General features: G+C 38.8%; 3 long non-coding RNA genes across 3 annotated transcripts in view, besides 1 other annotated feature; all 3 read left to right on the plus strand.

Annotated features, from left to right (window-relative positions):
- Positions 1-13899, plus strand: part of LOC105373456 (uncharacterized) — a 529181-nt gene extending 515282 nt beyond the window's left edge. Inside the window, exon 6 of the long non-coding RNA XR_007086234.1 lies at positions 13780-13899. This is a non-coding gene — a long non-coding RNA (uncharacterized LOC105373456). The remainder of the gene's footprint in view (positions 1-13779) is intronic.
- Positions 378-9395, plus strand: LOC124907739 (uncharacterized). Its single transcript, XR_007086236.1, has 2 exons — positions 378-809; positions 1106-9395. It is a non-coding gene; the product is annotated as an uncharacterized LOC124907739 (long non-coding RNA).
- Positions 3191-3485: a silencer, noted in NCBI's record as "tiled region #11737; HepG2 Repressive DNase matched - State 23:Low". NCBI's record gives its function as "represses a minimal TATA promoter and a strong SV40 promoter by Sharpr-MPRA in HepG2 cells {active_cell/tissue: HepG2}" and the evidence as "EXISTENCE:reporter gene assay evidence [ECO:0000049][PMID:27701403]".
- Positions 13900-21368: 7469 nt separating the features above from the next.
- LOC124907738 (uncharacterized) lies at positions 21369-25036 on the plus strand. The gene is made up of 2 exons (XR_007086235.1): positions 21369-22365; positions 24258-25036. It is a non-coding gene; the product is annotated as an uncharacterized LOC124907738 (long non-coding RNA).
- Positions 25037-27730: the final 2694 nt, after the last annotated feature.

A 27730-nucleotide genomic window follows, 5' to 3' on the forward strand; every position in this document is an offset into this window, starting at 1 on the left:
AACTGAGTCACAGAGACACCAGTTGAACCCATGGTTCAGCCTTGCCTAAAGCTAGACCTACAGTTGGATGTTTCGGTTACATTAAGCAATAAAATTCCTATGTAGATTTGGGCCAGGTTTTATAATTCTTGAAATCCAAAATTTCCAACTGATGCAATTTTTGGAGCCTTTGCATGGACTAAAACTGATCTTGAATTTTCATATAGTATAGCCGAGCTGGATGGATTACAGGATAGATGGGGCCAGGGCAGGAGCAGTGGCTCATGCCTGTAATTCTAGCACATTGGGAGGCTGAGGTGGGAGGACAGCTTGAGCCCAGGAGTTCAAAACTAGCCTGGGCAACAGAGTGAGACCTCACCTTGTTTTATATATATATAAATATATATATGGATAGATGGATGGATGGAAGAATAAATTAAAATGTGAATGAATGAATAATGGAAAGCAGGACTTTTGTTAAACTTTCTATATTGTGTTTTGTTAAACACAATAACAAGTATTGTGTTAGATTCTTTATATGACATTGCCAATGATGTAGACCAAAAACATATCTTGTTTATTCCTCATAGCAATTCTGCAAGACAATTATTGGCATCATTATCAAAGATGAAGAAATTGCAGTTTGAGGAGAGTGAGAGATAAAGTCAAACAACTGATACATAGAAATCAAAGGATTAGTGCAATATCTGTCATATGCCAAAGCCTGTAAGCCTCCTACAGTGCCCCCTGCCTTTTCTGAGCCTCAGCTTTCTTATCCGTAAAATGGCATTGATAATACTTCTTTCCTAATGTTAATTGAACAAAAGAAGGTAGGTGAGTGTGTGTAGTTGTGTGTGTATATTTACCTGTGTGTGTGTGGTACATGTCTCTCTAATTCTTTCCCTGTGTTCCTACCATTATTAAGTGATATAAACTTAGCATTCAAGATAGATGGGTGTTTTCATCCTCGAAAATTTTTTCTTTCATTTTCCTAATATCACATGATTATGTGCACAGTGAAATCTGCATCCAAATTTGAATTCACTCTTCACTCTGCATGCTAACTTTGCACTATTATTCAAGGTTTACTTACCTAGAAAATTAAGGAAAATCTATTTTCCCATAGCTCATACTAACTGAAGCCTCTTCTCAGAAATCTCCCTGGAAGTTTGGGGTTCCTCTATGTGTGACTTGGAGACATCATAACCACTACTGCACTGATGACGCCTCTACCACTTTCACCGCCACCAACAGCAACTCCTTGACCAATACCTTCCTCCTTCACTACTGCCTCCACCAGAACCTCTTCCATCTCCAACACCTCCACCATCACCACCATGATAATCACTGTGATTGTAAAAACATCAGGACCTATAGTAAGCAAGATATTTGACACTTAGAATTCCTACTCCACACTAGAATCCTATCAAGGAGACATTTTATTTTGGCTTGCCTATAGGGAAACAAAGTCTCAGAAAAGTTGAATAATCTCTCTAAAGTCTCACGACTTCTAAGCAGTAGAGCAAGAGGTTGACACCAAGCCCATCTGGACCCAAATACTGTGATGTCTTCACTTTAGTAATCTTTTCCTTTGCCCACACAATCATTTCTGTTCTGAAAGGTCAAGCATCATTTTCCTCTCTAGAATATAGGAGAATTCCTCTTTTAGCCTTTGTCTACTGCAGATATTGTGAAGTAATCTCGTCTGGGAGTGACTATCTTAATTACTGAAATAACAGGAAGTTAATGCCACTACAGATGCTGGGAAGGAAAAGGTTGTAGGGGAGTTGGTAAATGTGGAAGAGTCACATGTCAGATTAAAACAGGTCACAATGATGAGCTCTGACTGCTCTGAAAGGCAACAATGTCCGTCCAGCTAAGGTGGGGGAGAAATAGGGACCTGGCAATGCCACCATCCTTCTGTCAGGATAGGGGTGTAGGGTTGCTGTCACATCGGAAGTGAGGGCAGCCTGAAGGTTGGGGTTAGCATTCAACAAGAGGATTGAAAGGACACTTTAAAATCTAGATAGCGTATCTAAAGGATGCCTGAGGAGAATTCCAGTCTTTTATAGAGGGATAGGGAGATTGAATATGTTTTGCTTTTGAAAGCTTTATATTTGCAACTTTGTAGTTCTTTCTGCCATATATTTGAGGTGAAATGGGTATTAAATTGCAAAAGCAACACAGTCCATGCCTATTTTTTTACACACAAATACTCTTAGAGTAAATTCTGTCTCAGTAAGCACCTAGCACATAGAAGGGTGTTTGGATAATGCCTTTATCCAGTTTATCACTAAACTGGTAGTTCTGGTGAAGTAGAATGTCTTTATCCAGTTGCACAGAACTAGTATCTCCTCTATCCCATTAAAGAGAAAATTGATTTATTAACTGTTGATATTTACACTTGGGGAATTCATCAGGCTACTTGATCAGTAGAACCAGGAATCCTGCATAGATTGCTGTGGTATAAGGAGAAGATACCAATAGGAAATAGGTGAGGGTATAGAGTTGAGTGGTTTTGTTGTGCATGAAATGTTAATGCTTGTTCATCACGAAGAATATCTTATTTCTGAAACCAAGTATGACCACACTCTGTCACTCTCAAGTGTCTAAGGAATATATTTCCACTTTTGTTGTCCCTATAAGAATGTTTTGCTGGGGTCCTGCAAACTTACTGCCAGTCAGAAGGCAGGCTGCAGGCTGGGCATGGTGGCTTTCACCTGTAATCCCAGTACTTTGGGAGGCCGAGGCAGGCGGATCACCTAAGGTCAGGAGTTCGAGACCAGCCTGGTCAACATGGCGAAACTCTGTCTCTACTAAAAATACAAAAATTGGCCAGGCATGGTGGCAGGCACCTGTAATCCCAGCTACTCGGGAGGCTGAGGCAGGAGAACCCAGGAGGTGGAGTTGCAGTGAGCAGAGATCATGCTGCTGCATTCCAGCTTGGGCGACAGAGTGAGACTCTGTCTCAAAAAACAAACAAACAAAAACAAAAAAAAGGCAGTCTGCAAATGCAGATATTGCATATTGTTCTTATATGACTATGCAGAGAAAGGCTCTCAGAAACTCCATTACATAAGAGTAATTGGCTGAGAAATCCAGATTAGCCACCTGATTTTATCTGCTGAGGTGCTGGAAATGATGGGATTTTCATATTTTTTAAAGTCTTCGAAGCATTTTGTGTTTCGTTTCATTTATTAAAGTAAGTAAATAGCCTCATCAGATAGTTTATACATCTCTTTGGATAGGTCATACAAATGTGTTCTACAAGAGCTTACATGTGAGTAAATTTAATGTTTAAAGTGTAAATATATAGATAGGGCTCACAAAGTAGTTTTCATAAAATAGTCCCTAGGGCACTGATAGCTGCTAAGATTGCTGTTTTAGAAGCCTTGCTCTGTTTGTAAATGAGAGACATTGTCTTATGTGAATAGTGAGAATGATACAAAGTCCTGGTTGTGCAAGTGTCTCTATGAAGGGAGCAGCTGGCCCTTCCTACAGAAGTTCCTTCTGTAGCCTGAGTCACACAGTCAGCACTTGTGGCTCTATTGGCTGCCTTTATCTTCTGCATAATGGATATGAAGGTTGCATTCATAGTATTAATGAGTAGTGACTCCAGTGGCCATGGCTGGCACCAAAAATAGCATGTTGATCATTACCTTTGGTCTTAAAGAATGAGTAGCACAGAATGCCTGTGTCCCACCCTATATGAGGCCTTTTCTCCCCTGCAGAGCAAACTGGCATCTTTCTTTGGCTTCTTTCAGAGAACGGGTTTCCAAGCCAGCCATGAGTAGCCTCTGGAGCTTTTTCTGAGCCAGCTCCTGGTGGGGCATTGGGCTGTGGTCTATTCTAAAGAGAGTAGTTGGCATACACAAAGAATGAGTTTATTTGTAAACCACAATCACATAAACGTGAAGGAACACACAATGTCTGCCAGCAATGTCTTTGACCTGTGTGTGGAATACACTAGCAAGCAGTGGAATAAACTAGAACCATTGGTGTCAGAGCTGGAAGGGCCTTCAGCGTCATAAGGGCCAAGTCCACAATGATGACCAAGAATAAGCAACCTCCCCAAGGCCATTCCACCATTAAGTGAAAGATCTGGTCACTTCTAACTCCAGTCCAGGTGGCTTTCTATTGAACCAAAGACCCTCAGTTCCCTGACTTATAAGAGAGAACAATACCTGTCCCGCAGGATGCCCATAATGACTAAGTGGGTTAACATCTATGCAAGTACCTCACACAAAAATAGGCCCCAATTAAATGTTTAATAATATTTTTCTTATCAGATTAAAACCCTGGAGCTTACTTCACTCACCATTGTCCATTTTCACCATGATCAGTGCTGATGCTACACTCTTTCCATCTATGCAAAACCTGTTGTGATGCTGGACACATCACAGGTATGAGTTTCTGCCCCAGGGCTCATTGATGGCACAAAAGTTGAATTAACCCATATAGAAAATGGTCTCTTTAAAAAAATATTTTTATATCAACTTTTCCACTTCCATAATTAAAGTACAGTGGACCACACGGGCAGAACAAGCCCACAGCCCTTTGACTTAAGGTTTGTTTGACTTGTAGAGCCTTCCTCAGTTCAGATATTCAAGGAGTCTCACTCTTCTCAGGAGCATTTTTATGTCCATTGCATTCCCAATTAAAAGAAAACAACTTCGGAACTCAGGAATTTCATTTCAATACCCAAGGAAAGAAATTCTCAATTTCTTTTCCATTAGTGGAATCAATAACTAATAGGAAGATAACCAAAGCTTTATCATGTAGATTTAGTTTATAGGATAGCTCCTAAGGCTTGTAATTACAACTTTGAGAAAACAGTGTATGCTTATTCTGTGTGCTGTGTCCTCATAAGGGTATACAGGTAATTTGAATAATAGCATACCAAGGATGGTGCATAGAAAATGCAGGCAATTTTCCTGAGTCTAGTTTCCTTTGAATAGATTTTAGGCTTGGGTAGACTATTGCCTTTAAGTATAATTTTACTCCAAAGGAGAAAATCTCTGCTGATAACAGGGTATCCCTTGACATAAATCAGCCAAAAAATAATTATCACAGAATCGATGTCACCTAGAAATTATACCCAAACTACCCTTTATGATAATTTATATCATGAGACTTTAAATTTCTTCTATCAGAAAGTCACAAAAACATTGAAAAAGTAAACTCCAAAAACAAAATTTCAGCTGCCTTTTCAAGGAGTTCTATATTCAACTCACTCTGGTAAGTTGACTGTGCTATGGGAAGCAATCTTTAATACATGATATTAAAATAAGAGCTATTGATTAGACAGGCACAAGTGCAAAAGAGAGAGGTTATTAATTTCAAGATATACGAGAACATTTCCTACTGATAAGGAGCAATTTCATCCTTTAGAAACAAAATCCTCCAAAGAAACATAATGTTCAGAAACTCTTTTTTTGTGTGCTTTGAAAGGGGCAGAAGGACATTGCTTTTGAAGTGAAATGCGTGCCACTGTGACAGGAAGAGCACACCATGACAGAAGGCAAAGAGACGAGACTGCCCAAGGTTTTCTAATGATATAACTAAACTAAAAACAAAACAAAGCACACAACCCCCCACCCCCTGCAGTGTGAGCAGAGTTGAATTAACGACATAAAAGACAAAACTGAAAAGCAGCATCATATGGAGAGGAAGAAAAACAGATGTAAATAGTAAGAATGATGACAGATACATAGAAAGAATACTAAAAAGACAATGTATGAATTCCAGTTCATAAAAATAAGGACTAGGAGAACTACCATTTACTTAGTGTCAACAATGTGCCAGTTCCTCTGCTCAGTTTTTTTCTGTTGTTTAAGAACTCAAATGTGAGAAAATTTAGAAGAAGAAGATATTTGAAATACAGACAGCAAGGACCCCTTTAAGAATGTGGTGCCATGCCTTTCGGTCATGTTATTAAGGAGGCATATGATTTGTTAATGCCACCCAGGGCTGGACTCCTTCCATACTTTATCATGAGTAATTTTCAGGACAATGCTGTGAGGTAGGTAGCATTTTTCTCTATTTTATAGATGAAGAAACAAGCTTACAGAAATTAAGAAGAAAATATAGCAAAAAAAAAGCAATTAGACGTATAGCAAAAAGAAATTTTCCTTGTTTGAAAAAGATATTAAGACAAGACACATTGGTAGCTATTAATAAGGAAAACTCATTAAATGAAATCCTCACCTAGACAAAATTTTTTTTAGAATAAAATATTCTGTAAGTATTGAAAAAAGGTAAATAAACAAAAAATGGCTTTTTTTTTTTTTTTTGCCTGGTAAAGAATTAAGATCATCCTTTTGTAAAACTTACAGGAAATAATGAGAAGGTCTCTGAAGAGGTGGAAGGGAAAGAGTGTAAGCCCCCAAAATATACCTACTCAACTTTTCATTTCTATGCAATGTAAAAAATATATAATTTATCCTACTTAAAGCATCTCAAAGACAGCTTACATATATTAACTTATTTGATCATGGCAACATGTTACTCCTTAAGGAAGAAACTAGTGTTATCTCCATTTTACAAATGAGAAAACTGAAGAAGAGATTAACCCAAGCTCACACAGTTAACAGCAATGTGCATTAAGTGGCATTGATTTCTAGACTTGAAAATTCTAGTGAGTCACTAAAATTTTTAAAAAGACTTAATTGACAGGTTAAACTGTACACTACAAAAAAGAGAGGAATTGGCCGAGTGTGGTGGCTCACTCCTGTAATCCCAGCACTTTGGGAGGCTGAGGCGGGCGGATCACGAGATCAGGAGATCGAGAACATCCTGGCCAACATGGTGAAACCTGTCTCTACTAAAAATACAAAAACTAGCCAGGTATTTTGGTGGACACCGGTAGTCCCAGCTGCTTGGGAGGCTGAAGCAGGAGAATCGCTTGAGCCCAGGAGGCAGAGGTTGCAGTGAGCTGAGATCACACCACTGCACTCCAGCCTGGCAATGGACCAAGACTCTGTTTAAAAAAACAAGAAAGAAGGAAAGAAAGAAAGAAAGAAGGAGAGAGAGAGAGAGAAAGAAAGAAAGGAAGGAAAGAAAAGAAAGAAAGAAAGAAGGGAATTTGACACTGCATTTGAATATGAAAATTGAATTTAAAAATGCAGTCTAGTAAATTTGTTTGAGTTCATTGTAGATTCTGGATATTATTAGCCCTTTGTCAGATGAGTAGGTTGCAAAAATTTTCTCCCATTCTGTAGGTTGCCTGTTCACTCTGATGGTAGTTTCTTTTGCTGTGCAGAAGCTCTTTAGTTTAATTAGATCCCATTTGTCAATTTTGGCTTTTCTTGCCATTGCTTTTGGTGTTTTAGACATAAAGTCCTCGCCCATGCCTATGTCCTGAATGGTATTGTCTAGGTTTTCTTCTAGGGTTTGATGGTTTTAGGTCTAACATGTAAGTCTTTAATCCATTTTGAATTAATTGTTGTATAAGTTGTAAGGAAGGGATCCAGTTTCAGCTTTCTACATATGGCTAGCCAGTTTTCCCAGTACCATTTATTAAATAGGGAATCCTTTCCCCATTGCTTATTTTTGTCAGGTTTGTCAAAGATCAGATAGTTGTAGATATGTGGCATTATTTCTGAGGGCTCTGTTCTGTTCCATTGGTCTATATCTCTGTTTTGGTACCAGTACCATGCTGTTTTGGTTACTGTAGCCTTGTAGTATAGTTTGAAGTCAGGTAGCGTGATGCCTCCAGCTTTGTTCTTTTGGCTTAGGATTGACTTGGCGATGCAGGCTCTTTTTTGGTTGCATATGAACTTTAAAGTAGTTTTTTCCAATTCTGTGAAGAAAGTCATTGGTAGCGTGATGGGGATGGCATTGAATCTATAAATTACCTTGGGCAGTATGACCATTTTCACGATATTGATTCTTCCTACCCATGAGCATGGAATGTTCTTCCATTTGTTTGTATCCTCTTTTATATCATTGAGAAGTGGTTTGTAGTTCTCCTTGAAGAGGTCCTTCACATCCCTTGTAAGGTGGATTCCTAGGTATTTTATTCTCTTTGAAGCAATTGTGAATGGGAGTTCACTCATAAAAACAAACAACCCCATCAAAAAGTGGGCAAAGGATATGAACAGACACTTCTCAAAAGAAGACATTTATGCAGCCAAAAAACACATGAAAAAATGCTCATCATCACTGGCCATCAGAGAAAGAAATACAAATCAAAACCACAATGAGATACCATCTGACACCAGTTAGAATGGCGATCGTTAAAAAGTCAGGAAACAACAGGTGCTGGAGAGGATGTGGAGAAATAGGAACACTTTTACACTGTTGGTGGGACTGTAAACTAGTTCAACCATTGTGGAAGTCAGTGTGGCGATTCCTCAGGGATCTAGAACTAGAAATACCATTTGACCCAGCCATCCCATTACTGGGTATATACCCAAAGGATTATAAATCATGCTGCTATAAAGACACATGCACACGTATGTTTATAGCGGCACTATTCACAATAGCAAAGACTTGGAACCAACCTAAATGTCCAACAACGATAGACTGGATTAAGAAAATGTGGCACATATACACCATGGAATACTATGCAGCCATAAAAAATGATGAGTTCATGTCCTTTGTAGGGACATGGATGAAACTGGAAACCGTCATTCTCAGCAAACTATCGCAAGGATAAAAAACCAAACACCTCATGTTCTCACTCATAGGTGGGAATTGAACAATGAGAACACATGGACACAGGAAGGGGAACATCACACACCAGGGACTGTTGTGGGGTGGCGGGAGGGGGGAGGGATAGCATTAGGAGATATACCTAATGCTAAATGACGAGTTAATGGGTGCAGCACACCAACATGGCACATGTATACATATATAACAAACCTGCATGTATACCCTAAAACTTAAAGTATAATAATAATAAAATTAAAAAAAAAGAATACAGTATATAATACATATAACACACACACACACAAAATGCAATCTAGACATGAGGAAATTTCTCAGAATGAGGCAGAGAGAGTTAAAAGGAAAAAAAGTAAAGACATTGGATAACAGAAAGGCAAATGCCAAAATATATCTGACTATTCAAGAAACAGAGAATTAAAAAATGAGATGAAGCCAAAAATGTTGGATGTAATTTTGATACTCATGTTTTCATTCAAATGATTTTCTTTATGATTTCTGCTTTAATCCAAGAGATTTTTTTCAACTAAATTCAGACACAGAATTTTGAAAGTCATCTATTTAGTATTTACTAGTTTTTTGTTGCTATTTTATCATGGTTTATTATTTGTTACTCATTGTAAAATTTTTTGTTATCGTTATTTTGGTTTTTATTTTCCCCCGATTTAAAGAAAGAGAGGAGTCCTCAGTATAAAAATTATACTTAATCCAACATGGTTACAAAATAAATCTAAATTACACAATGCAAAGGTTTTTCCTTTGTTTGTTTGTTTTCGTTGTTGTTTTAAAGCTTGAGAAAGGAGCTGGGCTTGGTGGCACATACCTGTAGTCCCATCTACTTGGGAAGCTGAGGTGGGAGGATTACTTGAGCGCAGGAATTTGAGGCTGCAGTGAGCTATAGCCACAGAGCGAGACCTTATCTCTGAAAAGAAAAAGAAATAAAGAAAAGCTTTAAAAGGGGTAGAAAAAGAGATTGCTTACAAATGAAAACAATCCAACCAACAGCAAACTAGCGGACTTCACATCAGCAGCAAGGGATTTCAAAGGACAATGAAAAAAATCACTTCAAAGTGCTGACGAAATATATCTTTTTTTTTTTTCTTTTTTTTAGACAGTGCCTGGCTTTGTCGCCCAGGCTGGAGTACAGTAGTGTGATCTCGGCTCACTGCAAGCTCCGCCTCCCGGGTTCACGCCATTCTCCTGCCTCAGCCTTCCCAGTAGCTGGGACTCCAGGCGCCCGCCACCACGCCCGGCTAATTTTTTTGTATTTTTAGTAGAGACGGGGTTTCACCGCGTTACCCAGGATGGTCTCGATCTCCTGACCTCATGATCCGCCCGCCTCGGCCTCCCAAAGTGCTGGGATTACAGGCATGAGCCACCGCGTCTGGCCAATATATCTTAACATAGAACTGTATACCAGTTAAACCATGATTCAAGAATGGAAGCAAAATAAAGACATTTTCAGGGTATTGCCCACAGACCATGACTGAAAGACAGGCCTACTGCAGTTTATATTTCATCAAGTAGCAAATTGAGCCGCCAAGGAAGCACAGAGACACTAAACATAAAAGTGAGAAAAAAATTAGAAAATGACTCTCCCAATACTAAGTAGCCAAAATTATATCAGTGGTCAATATGTAGCATTTAATGCATTCATTGCCAAAAATAAATAAATTGGAATTTTTAAAAACCATGAAAGACTACTAAGGATAGTAGGACAAAGAAAATAATTAAGTTAACCATAACAGTGTATAAATTAGAAATAAAGAGTAGAACTAATAATACAATAGATGACACTTTGTAAATAACCAACAACAAATTATATATAAACTTTTTGAAAACTAGGCAAATATGACAGAATTACAACCAAAATGGGAAAACAAAACTCTATGTTACAAAGGATATTAGTTTTTTCTAATAAATATGAAATACTGATGAAGTGAACTGAAAACCCTTTTTGTTAGCAAACAAACTCAACTTGGAATGTAAAGCCTAAATAAAAAACAATCAAGGAAAAAGTGTTTAACTACCCCAAAACAGAAAAATAAACAATAACAACAAACTCTAGGCTTGAATGATTTTATTGGAGAAGTATTTCACATGTTTAGAGAGAAAGATTATTTCTCATGCTACAGAAGCTCTTCCAACAACACATGCCAAGGCTTTGTTCCAAAATAATATTTTCTCTCCATCACACTTCATATACTGGGAAAAGGCCTTGAGGTCCTCTCAGCTTGTGGGGAAATTTTTATGTCTCTTGCAGAGTGAGACAGAAGCCATGCCCAGGACCTGGGCTGGAAGACACCTCTCCTTTTCCAAGTACGTTTGGGAAAACCACACAGGGTTTGTCTGCTCGAGTTTTCAATTTTGATTGTCCTTGAAAGGTCTTTGCCTGGTGCAATCGCATTTCCCCAAACCTCTCTCAGTTACTGCCAGGCCAGCCCAACTCAGAACACCCTTTCTTTCTCCACATGGGGCTAATTTTATTCATAGGGGCTCTGTCCCACCAAGTGGGAGATAATAGAAGTTTGACCAGAGTGATTATTTAAAACAAAATCTAGGCTTCTGGTTCAAATAAAGAAAAAGAATTTACATTTATCTCTGCTCCATTTTGAAAATACATCTAAATGCAGTAAGAACTACAAAACAAAAAGAAGTACATAAATAACTGGGAAAAGTTATCAGCCAACCAAAGATACTGTTCTTTTACATTTTCTGTTTCTTTCTTTGTACGGCAAAATAACACAAACCCATTATAGCTGGTAGAAGAAAGCAAGATACAGCAAAAAAAGGAGATAACTTCCCTCTCTTCCCATTTCACTTTTCTTACAGATTTAAGGCAACAAATATCAATACTCTGTTAGGGTCAGTGCTCACCCTTCCCCATGGCTGAGAAAGAACATAGCTAGACCACACATTCACAGATGAAAGCATTTGGTGTAGTCATTATGCTGTGTTTTATTTTTACAAAAATAATGAAAATACTAGATAACTTGCTTCTTTCATTAAGCATTACAGGCATCCATTTAGGATGACAGGGTCTGAATCATTTTTTTGGATAGCTGCATAATGTTCTATGTGATGGATATTACATGATTCTTGAAAGCACAACTACTGATGAGTGTTCATATTTCCAATATGTTGCTATTAAAAATAATGCTTCCAGGCCGGGCGCGGTGTCTCACGCCTGTAATCCCAGCACTTTGTAAGGCCGAGGCGGGAGGATCACAAGGTCAGGAGATCGAGACCATCCTGGCTAACACAGTGAAACCCCATCTCTACTAAAAATACAAAAAATTAGCCGGGTGTGGTGGCGGGCACCTGTAGTCCCAGCTACTCGGGAGGCTGAGGCAGGAGAATGGCATGAACCCGGGAGGCGGAGTTTGCCGTGAGCCGAAATTGCACCACTGCACTCCAGCCTGGATGACAGAGTGAGACTCAGTCTCAAAAATAATAATAATAATAATAATAATGCTTCCATTAACGTCCTTAAATATGATGCTCCTATTTTCATAGAAGATAGTCTCAAAGTGGGATTGCTGAATGAAAAGCATGTGATATTTTTTCTAATAATTGTTTATTCATCACTCTACAAGATGTTATAGGAATTCACTTGCTGAGCAGGTGAAGTGGAAGTGCCACTTTCTTTTCTAAATGTTATAACCTAAAAGGTAGTATTTGAAGGTGGTGAAGGAGTATGTCATACAACAGGGAACCTAAGATCTGCATGGATGTGCCCTTTTCAAATATACAAAACAGGCAGGTGACCTGCTGATTCAGTAGAAGGCAATAAACAATGCATTCAATTAGAACGACATACATTTAATCACAATTGTCTAATGGTGTTTGAGGTTTCTTATCTAATCAGTAATGAGTCTACCCAGCAATTAATGTTTCTGGAATCGTGGCTGCCCTTACCAGCACAGTGCTGATTTTAAACTAATCTTTCTATTTTATATAGTCTATTTCTGGAGTTAATAAAGGTGCTCTAATGAGTTGTATTTTTCAAAAAGTTATAACTACTGGGTATGATCACTTTAATTTTTAGAGTCTAATGGTGAAAAATATTATCTTATTGCTGCTTTAATTTGCCTTTCCCTCAATACTAGTGAGGGTTGGCATCATTCAATATGTGTATAGTCTGCTTGGATTAATCTTCTTTGACTTTCCTATTCACATCTGTCCATTTTTCTTTTGAGTTGTGTTTTTCTCTGATGGGCTTGAATACACTCTCAAGATTTTAGCAATATTAACTCTTTTCCTGTCTGAGAAGTCAGAAAAACTTCTACTTATGTATTATCTGTCTATTTTTTAAGCATACACATCTGTCAATAACATTTAGTTTACATATATATTGATATATTTGTGTGTATAGTTAATGCATATTGTTATATAACATAGTTAGTATATATATCCATCATTATACATATTTAACCTACTATGATCAGAAATATCTACTATTGTTTTTACCCGAGTTTCTTTCTTTCCTTCCGTAATGAGATATTTCCCCTAGCTTTTTCTAATGCATTTTTCCTTCTTCTTTTCCTATATATTTAATCAACATGGACTATGGATATATATAATATCATATATATAAAATATCATATATAATATATATAAAATATCATATATATATGAGGTAAAGGACCTCAATTTGCTTTAATCTTGCCTGTATATCTGAATCATTTTTTAAATAAACACTCTTTATCCACTGAAACAAAATACCATATTACCTTCTCATTTTTACTTGAATCTATTTCAAAACCTTTAATTCTGTTCCACTGAATAAATGGGTCAAGAACACACTATTTTGTTTATAGGAAGTTTTTAAATTAAGTTTTACTCTCCAGGAATTTTCTTATCATAATTTTCTTAGCTATTTTTACACATTGATTATTTCATAATGACTTTAAAAATATGTATCTAGTTTTAAAAGTTCATTAAGATTTTAGTTATTTTGTATTAAGCATCAATTTTGTAAATACTGGTATTTGATACTATTATTTCTTATCATTTTCTTCATAGATCTTCCTATTCTTGTTAAAATGAATCATAGATAATTAAACATTTTATTACTCTTATGAATATAGTTTTCCTTTATTTCTAATGGGATGTTTCTATTATATTGAAAAGTTAATTTTGGAATAGAAGTTTCCAGGTCGCTTCCAAGATGGCCAAATAGGAACAGCTCCAGTCTGCAGCTCCCAGTGAGATCGACACAGAAGACGAGAGATTTCTGCATTTCCAAATGAGGTACCTGGTTCATCTCACTGGGACTGGTGGGACAGTGGGTGCAGCCCATGGAGGGTGAGCCAAAGCAGGGTGGGGCATCACCTCATGCAGGAAGTGCAAGGGGTTGGGGGATTTCCCTTTCCTAGCCAAGGGAAGCTGTGACAGACTGTACCTGGAGGAACAGTACACTTCTGCCCAAATACTGCACTTTTCCCATTGTCTTTGCAACCAGCAGACAAGGAGATTCCCTCCCATGCCTGGCTCAGCAGGTCCCACGCCCACGGAGCCTTGCTCACTGCTAGCACAGCAGTCTGAGATCCACCAGCAAGGCTGCAGCCTGGCGGGGGTGGGGCATCTGCCATTGTTGAGGCTTGAGTAGGTAAACAAAGCTGCAGGGAAGCTCGAACTGGGTGGAGCCCACCGCAGCTCAGCAAGGCCTACTGCCTCTCTAGATTCCACCTCTCTGGGCAGGGCATAGCTGAACAAAAGGCAGCAGACAACTTCTGCACACTTAAACATACCTGTCTGATAGCTCTGAAGAGAGCAGTGGTTCTCCCAGCACAGCGTTTGAGCTCTGAGAACAGACAGACTGCCTCCTCAAGTGGGTCCCTGACCCCCATGTAGCATGACTGGGAGACACCTCCCAGTAGAGGCTGACAGACACCTCATACAGGTGGGTGCCCCTCTGGGATGAAATTTCCAGAGGTAAAATCAGGCAACAATATTTGTGGTTCTGAAATATTTGCTGTTCTGCAGCCTCTGCTGGTGATACCCAGGCAAACAGGGTCTGGTGTGGACCTCCAGAAAATTCCAACAGACCTGCAGCTGAGGGGCCTGTTAGAAGGAAAACTAACAAACAGAAAGGAATAGCATCAACATCAACAAAAAGGACATCCACACCAAACCCCATCTGTAAGTCACCAACATCAAAGACCAAAGGTAGATAAAAACCACAAAGATGGGGAGAAATCAGAGCAGAAAAGCTGAAAATTCTAAACACCATAGCACCTCTTCTCCTCCAAAGGAATGCAGCTCCTCTCCAGCAACAGAACAAAACTGGAGGGAGAATGAGTTTGACGAGTTGACAGAAGTAGGTTTCAGAAGATCAGTAAAAACAAACTTCTTCAAGCTAAAGGAGCTTGTTCTAACCCATCACAAGGAAGCTAAAAACCTTGAAAAAAGGTTAGACGAATGGCTAAGTAGAATAAACAGTGTAGAGAAGACCTTAAATGACTTGATGGAGCTGAAAATCATAGCACGAGAATTTCATGATGCAGGCACAAGCTTCAATAGCTGATTCGATCAAGAGGAAGAAAGGGTATCTGTGATTGAAGATCAAATGAAATAAAGTGAGAAGACAAGATTAGAGAAGAAAGAGTGAAAAAAAACAAAGCCTCCAAGAAATATGGGACTATGTGAAAAGACCAAATCTACATTTAATTGGGGTACCTGGAAGTGACGGGGAAAATGGAACCAAGTTAGAAAATACTCTTCAGGATATTATCCAGGAGAACTTCCACAACCTAGCAAGGCAGGCCAACATTCAAATTCAGGAAATACAGAGAACACCACAAAGATTCTTGAGAAGAGCAACCCCAAGACACATAATTGTCAGATTCACCAAAGTTGAAATGAAGGAAAAAATGTTAAGGGCAGATAGGGAGAAAGTTTGGCTTACCCACAAAGGGAAGCCCATCAGACTAACAGTGGATCTCTCAGCAGAAACCCTACAAGCCAGAAGAGAGAGGGGGCCACAATTCAACACTCTTAAGGAAAAGAATTTTCAAACCATAATTTCATATCCAGCCAAACTAAGCTTCATAAGTGAAGGAAAAATAAAATCCTTTACTGACAAGGAAATGCTGAGAGATTTTGTCACCACCAGGCCTGCCTTACAAGAGCTCCTGAACGAAGCACTAAACATGGAAAGGAACAACCGGTGCCAGCCACTTCCAAAACATGCCAAATTATAAAGACCATTGATGCTATAAAGAAACTGCATCAATCAATGGGCAAAATAATCAGCTAACATCATAATGACAGGATCAAATTCACACATGACAATATTAACCTTAAATGTAAATGGGCTAAATGCCCAAATTAAAAGACCCAGACTGGCAAATTGGATAAAGAGTCAAGACCCATCAGAGTGCTGTAATCCGGAGACCCATCTCACGTGCAGAGACACACATAGGCTCAAAATAAAGGGATGGAGGAAGATCTACCAAGCAAAAGGAAAGCAAAAAAAAAAAAAAAAAAAAGCAGGCGTTGCAATCCTAGTCGCTGATAAAACAGAATTTAAACCAACAAAGATCAAAAGAGACAAGGAAGGTCATTAAATAATGGCAAAAAATCAATTCAATAAAAAGAGCTAACTATCCTAAACATATATACACCCAATACAGGAGTACCCTGATTCAAAAAGCAAGTGCTTAGAGACCTACAAAGAGACTTAGACTCCCACACAATAATAATGGGAGACTCTAACACCCACTGTCAATATTAGACAGATCAACAAGACAGAAGGTTAACAAGGATATCCAGGACTTGAACTCAGCTCTGCACCAAGCTGACCTAATAGACATCTACAGAACTCTCCACCCCAAATCAACAGAATATACATTCTTTTCAGCACCTCATCACACTTATCCTAAAATTGACCACATAATTGGAAGAAAAGCACTCCTCAGCAAATGTAAAAGAACAGACATCACAACAAACTGTCTCTCAGACCACAGTGCAATCAAATTAGAACTCAGGATTAAGAAACTCACTCAAAACCACACAACTACATGGAAACTGAACAACCTGCTCCTGAATGACTACTGGACAAATAACGAAATGAAGGCAAAAATAAAGATGTTCTTTGAAACCAATGAGAACAAAGACACAACATACCAAAATCTCTGAGACACATTTAAAGCAGTGTGTAGAGGAAAATTTATAGCACTAAATGCCCACAAGAGAAAGCAGGAAAGATATAAAATCGACACCCTAACATCACAATTAGAAGAACTAGAGAAGCAAGAGCAAACAAATTCAAAAGCTGGCAGAAGGCAAGAAATAACTAAGATTAGAGCAGAATTGAAGGAGATAGAGACACAAAAAACCCTTCAAAAAAAATCAGTGATTCCAGGAGCTGGTTTTTTGAAAAGATCAACAAAATAGATAGACTGCTAGCAAGACTAATAAATAAGAAAAGAGAGAAGAATCAAACAGACAGCAATAAAAAATGATAAAGAGGATATCACTACCGATCCCACAGAAATACAAACTACCATCAGAGAATATGATAAACACCTCTATACAAATAAACTAGACAATCTAGAAGAAATGGACAAATTCCTGGACATATACACCCTCCCAAGACTAAACCAGGAAGAAGTTGAATCTCTGAATAGACCAATAACAGGTTATGAAATTGAGGCAATAATTAATAGCCTACCAACAAAACAAGTCCAGGACCAGACGGATTCACAGCCGAATTCTACCAGAGGTACAAAGAGAAGCTAGTACCATTCCATCTGAAACTATTCCAATCAACAGAAAAAGAGGGAATCCTCCCTAACTCATTTTAAGAGGCCAGCATTATCCTGATACCAAAGCCTGGCAGAGACACAACAAAAAAAAAGAGATTGATGAACATCAATGCGAAAATCCACAATAAAATACTGGCAAACCAAATCCAGCAGCACATCAAAAAGCTTATCCACCACGATCAAGTCGGCTTCATCCCTGAGATGCAAGGCTGGTTCAACATACGCAAATCAATAAATGTAATCCATCCCATAAACAGAACCAACCACCAACGACAAAAACCACACGATTATCTCAATAGATGCAGAAAAGGTATTGATAGAATGTATCTCAAAATAATAAGAGCTATTTATGACAAACCCACAGCCAATATCATACTGAATGGGCAAAAACTGGAAGCATTCCCTTTGAAAACCTGCACAAGAGAAGGATGACCTCTCTCACCACTCCTATTCAACATAGTGTTGGAAGTTCTGGCCAGGGTAATCAGGCAAAAGAAAGAAATAAAGGGTATTCAATTAGGAAAAGAGGAAGTCACATTGTCTCTGTTTGCAGACGACATGATTGTATATTTAGAAAACCCCATTGTCTCAGCCCCAAATCTCCTTAAGCTTATAAGCAGCTTCAGCAAAGTCTCGATACAAAATCAATGTGCAAAAATCACAAGCATTCCTATACACCAATAACAGACAAACAGAGAGCCAAATCATGAGTGAAACTCCCATTCACAATTGCTACAAAGAGAATAAAATACCTAGAAATCCAACTTACAAGGGAAATGAAGGACCTCTTCAAGGAGAACTGCAAACTGCTGCTCAATGAAATAAAAGAGGACACAAACAAATGGAAGAACATTCCATGCTCATAGATAGGAAGAATCAATATCATGAAAATGGCCATACTGCCCAAGGTAATTTATAGATTCAATGCTATCCCCATCAAGCTACCAATGACTTTCTTCACAGAACTGGAAAAACTACATTAAACTCCATATGGAACCAAAAAATAGCCCACATAGCCATGACAATCCTAAGCCAAAAGAACAAAGCTGGAGGCATCATGTTACCTGACTTCAAACTTTTTTTTTGTCAATTTTTACCACTTGTTACTAAATAAAATGTTTGTCAAACTTTGTTACTACAAGGCTACAGTAACCAAGACAGCATGGTACTGGTACCAAAACAGATATATAGACCCATGGAAGAGAACAGAGGCCTCAGAAATAACACCACACATCTACAACCATCAGATCTTTGACAAACCTGACAAAAATAAGCAATAGGGAAAGGATCCCCTATTTAATAAATGGTGCTGGGAAAACCGGCCAGCCATATGTAGAAAGCTGAAACTGGATCCCTTCCTTATACCCTATACAACAATTAACTCAAGACCCAAAACCATAAAAACCCTAGAAGAAAACCGAGGCAATACCATTCAGGACATAGGCATGGGTGAAGACTTCATGACTAAAACACAAAAAGCAATGGCAACAAAAGCCAAAATTGACAAATGAGATCTAATTAAACTGAAGAGCTTCTGCACAGCAAAAGAAACTACCATCAGAGTGAATGGGCAACCTACAGAATGGGAGAAAATTTTTGCAATCTACCCATCTGACAAAGGGCTAATATACAGAATATACAAAGAACTTAAACAAATTTACAAGAAAAAACAACTCCATCAAAAAGTGGGCAAAGGATATGAACAGACACTTCTCAAAAGAAGACATTTATGCAGCCAACAGACACATGAAAAAATGCTCATCATCACTCGTACATCAGAGAATTACAAATCAAAACCACAATGAGATACCATCTTATGCCAGTTAAAATGGCAATTATTAAAAAGTCAGGAAACAACAGATGCTGGAGAGGGTGTGGAGAAATAGGAACACCTTTACAGTGTTTATGGGAGTGTAAATTACTTCAACCATTGTAGAAGACAGTATGGCGACTCCTCAAGGATCTAGAACTAGAAATACCATTTGACCCAGTGATCCCATTACTCGGTATATGCCCAAAGGATTATGAATCATGCTACTATAAAGACACATGCACACGTATGTTTATTGCAGCACTACTCACAATAGCAAAGACTTGGAACCAACCCAAATGTCCATCAATGATAGACTGGATTAAGAAAATGTGGCACATATACCCCCCATGGAATACTATGCAGCCATAAAAAAGGATGAGTTTATGTCCTTTGCAGGGACATGGATGAAGCTGGAAACCATAATTCTCAGCAAACTATCACAAGAACAGAAAACCAAACACTGCGTGTTCTCACTCATAGGTGGGAGTTGAACAATGAGAACACATGGACACAGGAAGGGGAACATCACACACCAGGGCCTGTTGGGGGGTGGGGTGCTGGGGGAAGGATAGCATTAGGACAAATATCTAATGTAAATGACGAGTTGATGGGTGCAGCAAACTAACATGGCACATGCATACCTATGTAACAAACCTGCATGTTGTGCACATGTACCCTAGAACTTAAAGTTTTAAAAAAAAGTTAATTTTGTATATGTATACATTAATTAGGCATGTATGTGGTATAGAGTTGTTAAAAAAATTCAAATATAATTTACACAACATAACATTTGTTTTCATACGTTTTAAGATGTCCAAATAAGCTGGGCACGGTGGCTCACGCCTGTAATCCTAGCACTTTGGAGTCCGAAGTGTGCGGATCACTTGAGTTCAGGAGTTTGAGACCAGCCTGGCCAACATGGTGAAACCTCATCTCTACTAAACATACAAAATTAGCTGGACGTGGTGGCATGCCCCTGTAATTCCAGCTACTCCGAAGGCTGAGGCAGGAGAATGGCTTGAATCCAGGAGGCGGAGGTTGCAGTGAGCCGAGATTGCACCACTGCACACTCCAGCCTGGGCAAGAGAGAGAGAATTTGTCTAAAAAAACAAACAAACAAAAAAACAAAAAAACAAAAACACACACACATACACATAGAGGATGTACAAATAGTTAAGTGCTTTTAGTATATTCACTACGTTGTGCAACCATCAACACTATCTAATTCCAGGATGTTTCCTTCATTCCGAAAAGAAACCTGTATTTATTGTCAGTCAGAACAATTCCTCTCAACCCCAACCTCTCTTAGTCACTGATCTACATTCTTTCTGTATGGATTTGACTGATCTAGACATTTCATATAAACAGAATTGTACTATACATGGCCTGTTGTGACTGGATTCTTTCACCTAGCATGATGTTTTCAAGGTTCTTTTATGTCGCAGTATGTTATACTGCTTCATTCTTTAAGACTGAATAATTGTATGTACATACCACATTTTGTCTATGTATCAGTTGATGGATCTTTGGATTGTGTATGTTTAGTATTAAGTGTCAACCTGATTGGATTGAAGGATTCAAAGTATTGTTCCTGGGTGTGTCTGTGAGGGTGTTGCCAAAGGAGATTAATAATTGTGTCAATGGACTGGGAGAGGCAGACCCACCTTCAGTGTGGGTGGGCACCATCCAATCAACGGCCAGTGCGGCTAGAGTAAAGCAGGAAGAAGAAGGTGGAAGAAGGTGGGAGAGGCCGATTTGCTAAGTCTTCCAGCCTTCATCTTTCTCCCGTGCTGCATGCTTCCTGCCCACGAACATCAGACTCCAAGTTCTTCAGCTTTTGGGCTCTTGGACTTTACACCAGTGGTTTGCCAGGGGCTCTCAGGCCTTCAGCCACAGACTGAAAGCTGCACTGTCGGCTTCCCTGCTTTCGAGGTTTTGGGACTCAGACTGGCTTCCTTGTTCCTTACCTTGTAGATGGCATATTTTGAGAGTTCACCTTGTGATCGTGTGAGTCAATATTTCTTAATAAACTCCCCTTCATATATGCATATATCCTATTAGTTCTGTCCCTCTAGAGAACCCTGACTAATACAGATTGTCTTTACTTTGGGCTATTATGAATAGTGTTGCTGTGGGTATGCATGTACAAGTGGAATTGCTGGGTCATATGACAATCCTTTGTTTAACTTTTTAAGTAACTGCTAAACTGTTTTCCTGGGGTATGGAACTTTAAGATGGGCTTCATGGTCCCTGTCTCCTGGTATTCATGTACCCCCTCTCCTTGAGTATAGGCAGAAACTGTGACCTGCTTCTGACCAATTGCAAAGGCAATGAAGTGTCACTCTCTTCAGCATGTGAGATAACATAAAACTGTGTCTAACTAGTCAATTCACTCTAGACATTCTCTCTCTCTCTCTCTCTCTTTCTCTCTCTCTCTCCATTGCTTATTTTGAAGTAGCAAGCTGCCATAGTCAATAACTACAAGGAAATACATTCTGGCAACTACTTGAGTGATCTTGGAAGCAGTTTCTTCCACTGTTGAGCCTATAGATGAGGACACAGCTTGACTAACACCTGGAATGTAGTCTCATGAGACCCTCAGCAGAGGATTGAATAAGCTATATCAGTACTCTGATCCACAGAAACTGTGAGATAATAACCACATATCATTTCAAGTCTCCAAATTTGTATAATTTGTTACCCAGCATAGAAAACTAATGTAGCATGCTAGCAATTGTTTTTATTCAAATAGTATTTTCTGACACAGGTGATTTCATATTCTTTGATTTTTTTCTTTAGCATTTTATAAATGATTTTATGTTATGGTCTTATGAAGGTTGAAATCGTCTCCAAAGCTGCATTTCTTATGAGAAATATAGCTGCCATCTGCATTTTGTTCTTAATTTTATGGAAAATGGCTTTAACATTTCAATATTTGATATGTTATAACTAACTATATATAACTATTAACAAATTTTGTCTATAACTAATCTTCATTTTTTATTTCCACTTTTGTTAGGGTTCTTGTTAGGAATTGCTGGTCCCCCTAAATCTTAACAATGACATTTCTGTACCTATCTACATGATCGCCTGCAGTTTTTTCCTTCTGATTTGTTTGCACAAAGAATTATGCAGGTAGGTGTCTTGATGTTGAATATTTATACATTTTTTAAGATGAACTCCACTTTGACATGGTGCAAAATGCTTTCGATTCACAGCTGCCATTTTTTTTTTTCCTGGAACTCATCAAAATCTGGACAGAGATTTAAATGATGGAAACTTGAGCATGCCTTCCTGATTTCCTTTCTCTCCCACCATCCTCTCTGGAAGGTGTAAACATGACTGAAGCTACAGGTTGTCAATTCTCCTAGAATATGACCAGGCCAAATGGGTCCTATTGCCTCTGCACTGACTCTATTAGGCTGAGACTAGCTGTGGAGAGGCCTTCAGTTAGTGCCCCAGCAGCAGAGTCAGGTTGTCTGGCATGCTCACAGCTGGCTCACGGGAGGAGACATGGCTGTGCCTTCCACCCTTCTCTTGCTCCCTACTCTTTCACAGACCTTCCAACCTGATGGTGCCTTTGCTGAAATTAATTATAGAGAAAAATGAGCAAGCAAAAAAATTTATAACAACATATTTAAGGATTTTCAGGGATAAGGATGTGCCTTTAGAAGAGATGACTTCTACTGACATTGAATAGATGCAAGAGTTCAAAAAGAACTTTAAAAATAAGATATACTCTGAAAGCAAGTCATTTAGAGACCAAGCAAAAAGACTTTCTAGAAATAAAAATATATGATTTATAAATTTTAATAAACTGAAAAGGGTATAGGTGTAGCTAAATACCAATTTAGATCTTAAAAATCCAATGGACAAATGAGTTTGCAACACAGAACAAACACACAGAGTTTGAATCCCTAATTCAATGTGCTAAGAACTAAGCCTCTTCATTTTATTGTTGTCCGCAAACTTGAATCAACAGTGACTAAACTTCACAATCCCATGTTATGATTCAAAAAATGTCAAACCCCAAGTAAAATTCTTGAGGTAAATTCCAGTTTCAGATGCCTAATGAGGTATTCATAAATTAAAGATTTTAATCAAATATTTTATTTTATGATCCCCTCAGTGTGATACAAAGGAACCCCAAAAAAACATTGAACTATGAATTCATAGTTTGTTATTGTTAGTATTAGTGGTGGTGGTGGTGGTGTGTGTGTTTCCCTGTATTTTAGATGTCTCCTGTCTCAGAGAAACGACAGCTGTCTTCTCCAAAGATTGTTTAAGCACAAACAGGACATTTTGCTCATTCATTGTTGTTTGTCACACAAAGAAGTTGCTTTTGTATTTTGTGGTACTGCACTATTAAGGCTGAATTTCTTTTCAAATAAAAATCTGACTCAAGGGAGTGAACAGCTCCATGCTCTAAGCAGGGTTAACCACTGTTTTCAAAAGCTCTGGCAGGGAGATGGAAGCTTGGAGGTAAATTGAAAGATATAGTTTACCAAATGCTTGGGCAAACCTCACTGAGAAGGACATAAATGGATGGTAGCTCCAGGAGTTGTAAGCAGAAGAGGCAGTAGTGACATTGGGGTTGGTCTTTTCACTGCATCAAAGTGCACCCATCTCTCTCCAGTAAGTCTGGGATACAGCTGGCCAGAGGCACATTAAGATCACGTGCAAAAGCAGAAAAACAGGAACTGAAAACCAAGTTCAACAAAAGAGGGAGAAATAAATGAAGGAACCAGGACTGAGTACCACGTTTGGCTCTGAGATTTACTAGAAGGTAACCTCAGAAAGAAATGAAACGTGGTAAATTACTTAGTCCTTATTATCAAAAAGGATGAGGTCAACCTAGGTCTTTCTTGGCATTACCTATACTATAAATTTCTCAAATGAGACTTTTTACACAGGGGGCAATGAACAATAAGCCTAATAACACACAAAAGTAGATTATTAAAGTGGTGCTTCTGAAGTGCTATAATCATCATCTTCACCAGGGCTTTGTAAATTATTTCTTTCCACAGGATTAAAAACTTCAATGAACAATATCTCCCTTCTGTTTTGGCTTTAGAAATCAGGTTGTTATTGGTGGAACTGTACCCCTCCCACACCCCCAATTCACATGGTGATGTTCTAACCCGCAGTACCTCACAATGTGACCTTATTTGGAGATAGGCATTTTTTAGAGGTAATCAAGTAAAAATGAGGTCATTAGGAAGGCCTAACCCAAGATGACAGTGTCCTCTATGAGAAGGAGGAATTTGGACATAGACACACACAAGGCGAACATCATGTGAAGATGAAGCCAGAGACCAGGATGCTGCTTCAACATGCCGAAGAACACCAGAGACTTCCAGAAAACCACTAGGAATTCAGTGAAAGGGATGAAACAGCTGCTCCCTCACAGCCCCTCAAAGGAACCATCCCTGCCAACATGTAGATCTCAGACTTCCAGCTTCCAGAGCTGTTGGATGATAAATGTGCGTTACTTAAGCCACTCAGTTTGTGGTACTTTGTTACGGCAGCCTAAGAAACTAATACTCAGGTTTTTATAATGTCAGGTTGAGCCATCCTCCACATCTACTTTCTCTGGCAGTGACCATTTCTGATCAGGGACTGAATAGAAGATTCTAGTTATTTAATTACAAACAAAATAATTGAGAGAAGAATGCAGTCAAGATAATTCCAAGAACAGCCCATGACCTGGAGCCCAGTGCCCAGCTTCCACAGCAGTGATGTGTTCACATCAGGCCAGATTCTTCCATAAAAAGTTCACATTTCTATAATAAAAAGTTCACATGTTTTCTTTGGTCTTGTCCTATTTTATATTGGTTCCCCTTTATGACAAGAGTCTAGAGACCAGAAAGAACTGGTCCAGGACCAAATTAAATAAAGCTTGAAATCTCTGTCACTTACCTGATCCCTAATTATGGGTAGAGAAGCCCTACAGACAAGCTTTTTCCAGCTCAGGTAATGTTGCTGTATGGCCCCAGCAACTTTTTTTATGACTTGGCTAAATTTTGCCAAGTATTTGCTTGGTGTCACATTTATGAGCTTACTTAAGAATCTTTTGTGCAAACTTTTCGAAGGCTTACTTGATGGACTAGCTCCAGAACTAGATTCCTGGGGCCCACTACACAGTGTTTGAATAAGGCCAAAAGGTAAAATGTGTCTCCTAGTTGTTTTCTTGTATCTTCCCTCCCTCTCCTCCCCCTGCAAAGATGTCTTCTTTCCTCCTTTCGTACTGGTCTTCTGACAAACAAGTTAGCTAATTACCAATAAGCAAAATTCCCTTGAATATCTGCCATTGTTCAGTGTTTTCCTGGGCAGGGGTCTGATCTCTATGGAGAGGCTTTAAGTTTTAGAACTTGTACAAAGCTTCTGCGCCTTGTGGTGGTGATGGTGGTGGTGGCATGTGTGTGTGTTTCTGAGAGAGAACTACTCCTCTGGCCACCTATTTAGTGAGTGAAAATATCTCAGCCTTGCAAGCAACTGCCTAGAATGTTTGATTCAACCTCTACTCCAATACTTTCTATCCCAATGAAAATTATAGCTATAACATCTTTGCCAGCTGATTGTACAGCTCTCATCAAACCATTCCTGTGTTAAAGTGGGCCCTGCCTTTCATGTAGCCCATGAAATTGCACCTCATTCTCACTGTTGGACGTTCTTTCTTGAATCTAGCTAAAACTACCTGCTTGCCTCCTGGAATCTCACTTATATAGGCATGCATCTACACAAAGTGAATGAGAAGGCCAAATTAACTGTTACTCATTCAGACATAAAATCTTCCTGATTCTTCACTCAGATGCAAGGGCTATCTTGGTCAAAATACCCTCAATTATCTGTATAATTTGTGTCCAGATTCCATCTTCTCCTTTATTCTATAGATCACAAAATCTCATCTCACTGACTTCTCATGAGGGTGGCCCAGGCCCGGACTGGACTAGGTGACTTCTACCAAGTTATATGGCTGTGAATGTTAGAGTCAGAGGAAATTTTAAAAATCTATCATCTCCATGATGCAAAATATAAACATGGCCTGTGAATCTCAGAAGTTGTAGAGATGATGCCTACGTGCAAGGCTTTGGAAGACAAATATCAGGATTAGCAAGAATAAAGGCATGCCACACAGGAGAAGAAAAAAATCTAGCCAGGAAGACTGACTCCCATGGCATCCTCTACATGGGGAAAGGAGCCTTCAGAGACTGACATTTTGGTGCATCAGGAGGCATTTCTGCTTCCACATGAGATTTACTGACTATAAAAATGATTGGATTCTGTGTTCTATAATTTAAAATTATGATCCTGTAACATTATAAGAAAGTGTCTGGTAAGAGGTGTCTGCTCTTCAAACATGTCAGATATGCCGCAGATGGCTGAGATAGGAATTGGAGGTGGGGTTGTAACAGAAAGGTGGTGTTGCACGATGCCTCCTCCAGAAGTGTTGCATAGGCCTGCTGACCCAGGGAGAGGTTACGCAAACATCTGGCCTTGGGTCAGAGAGGGCTCTGCAAGCTCCAGTTATCCACTTCAGTCACTGTTTTACATAATCCCATCATTTTGTAAATCATTTCATTGATACCAGCACTTTCACAGAATTGTTTTATTTGAACAACTCAGAGGAAGGCCACAGCAGAGGGTCCCAAGTTTTTGATAGATGAGAAAATTGAGAAGTTTAGTGATTCCTCCAAAGCCACCTAAGAAGTCTGCAGCAGAGGTAAGTCTTTTACTCCTGATCCTTTATCTTTCTGTTCTTGCTTACACAGGTGAAGGAGGTAGGTTAATCCCCTGGATTATCCTGGTATTGTCCCACTTACCCCTTTTGCTCAGTGTCATGTGGCTGTGACCAAGTAGACCACATCCAGGAGAAGTGACCTGCCATCCCACCTCACAGACAACTTCACCTCCCCAGCACCATCCTAGACCTTTTGAAAGACTGAACTGGAGTTCTAAACATTCATTAATTTAGTTGGAGTATTTTTGTTTTCTCCTCAAGAGAGTGAAAAATGGCCATTGTGAGAGAATAATGTCAAATATTCCTACAAGGGCAAAGGCAGAGTCCAGAATCACAGCTGAATCCTCCTTGTTCCATTTTTATGTGTGAATTCTTAAACCACACAGATTACATTACAAGTTGGGAATGCCTCCACCTGACTAAATATATATGTGTACACATTGGCATCCATCTCCATTAACATAATATTAGCCATTACGGGAGCATTACAACATCATCCTGCTCACAAATGTGACACAGAACAGAGTGTCACAGACACCTCAATGCACTGGACGCTTAAGTCAAATGGAAAGTTAAAAACACCTTCTGCAAGCAGCCACTGGCATTACTTCATATTTATGTTAGTTTTGCTAATCTAATCGAGTGAACTTTTTCCCTAAGAGAATATAATAGGAATATTTTATTTGAAAATTTTATGTAGTAAGCAGCTGTCTAAAGTCTTAATTTCTGTTTTCAGTAGGGTAAGTGGCAAATGCAACC

Source organism: Homo sapiens, chromosome 2 (genome assembly GCF_000001405.40).
Source record: "Homo sapiens chromosome 2, GRCh38.p14 Primary Assembly".
Classification (NCBI taxonomy): Eukaryota; Metazoa; Chordata; class Mammalia; order Primates; family Hominidae; genus Homo; species Homo sapiens.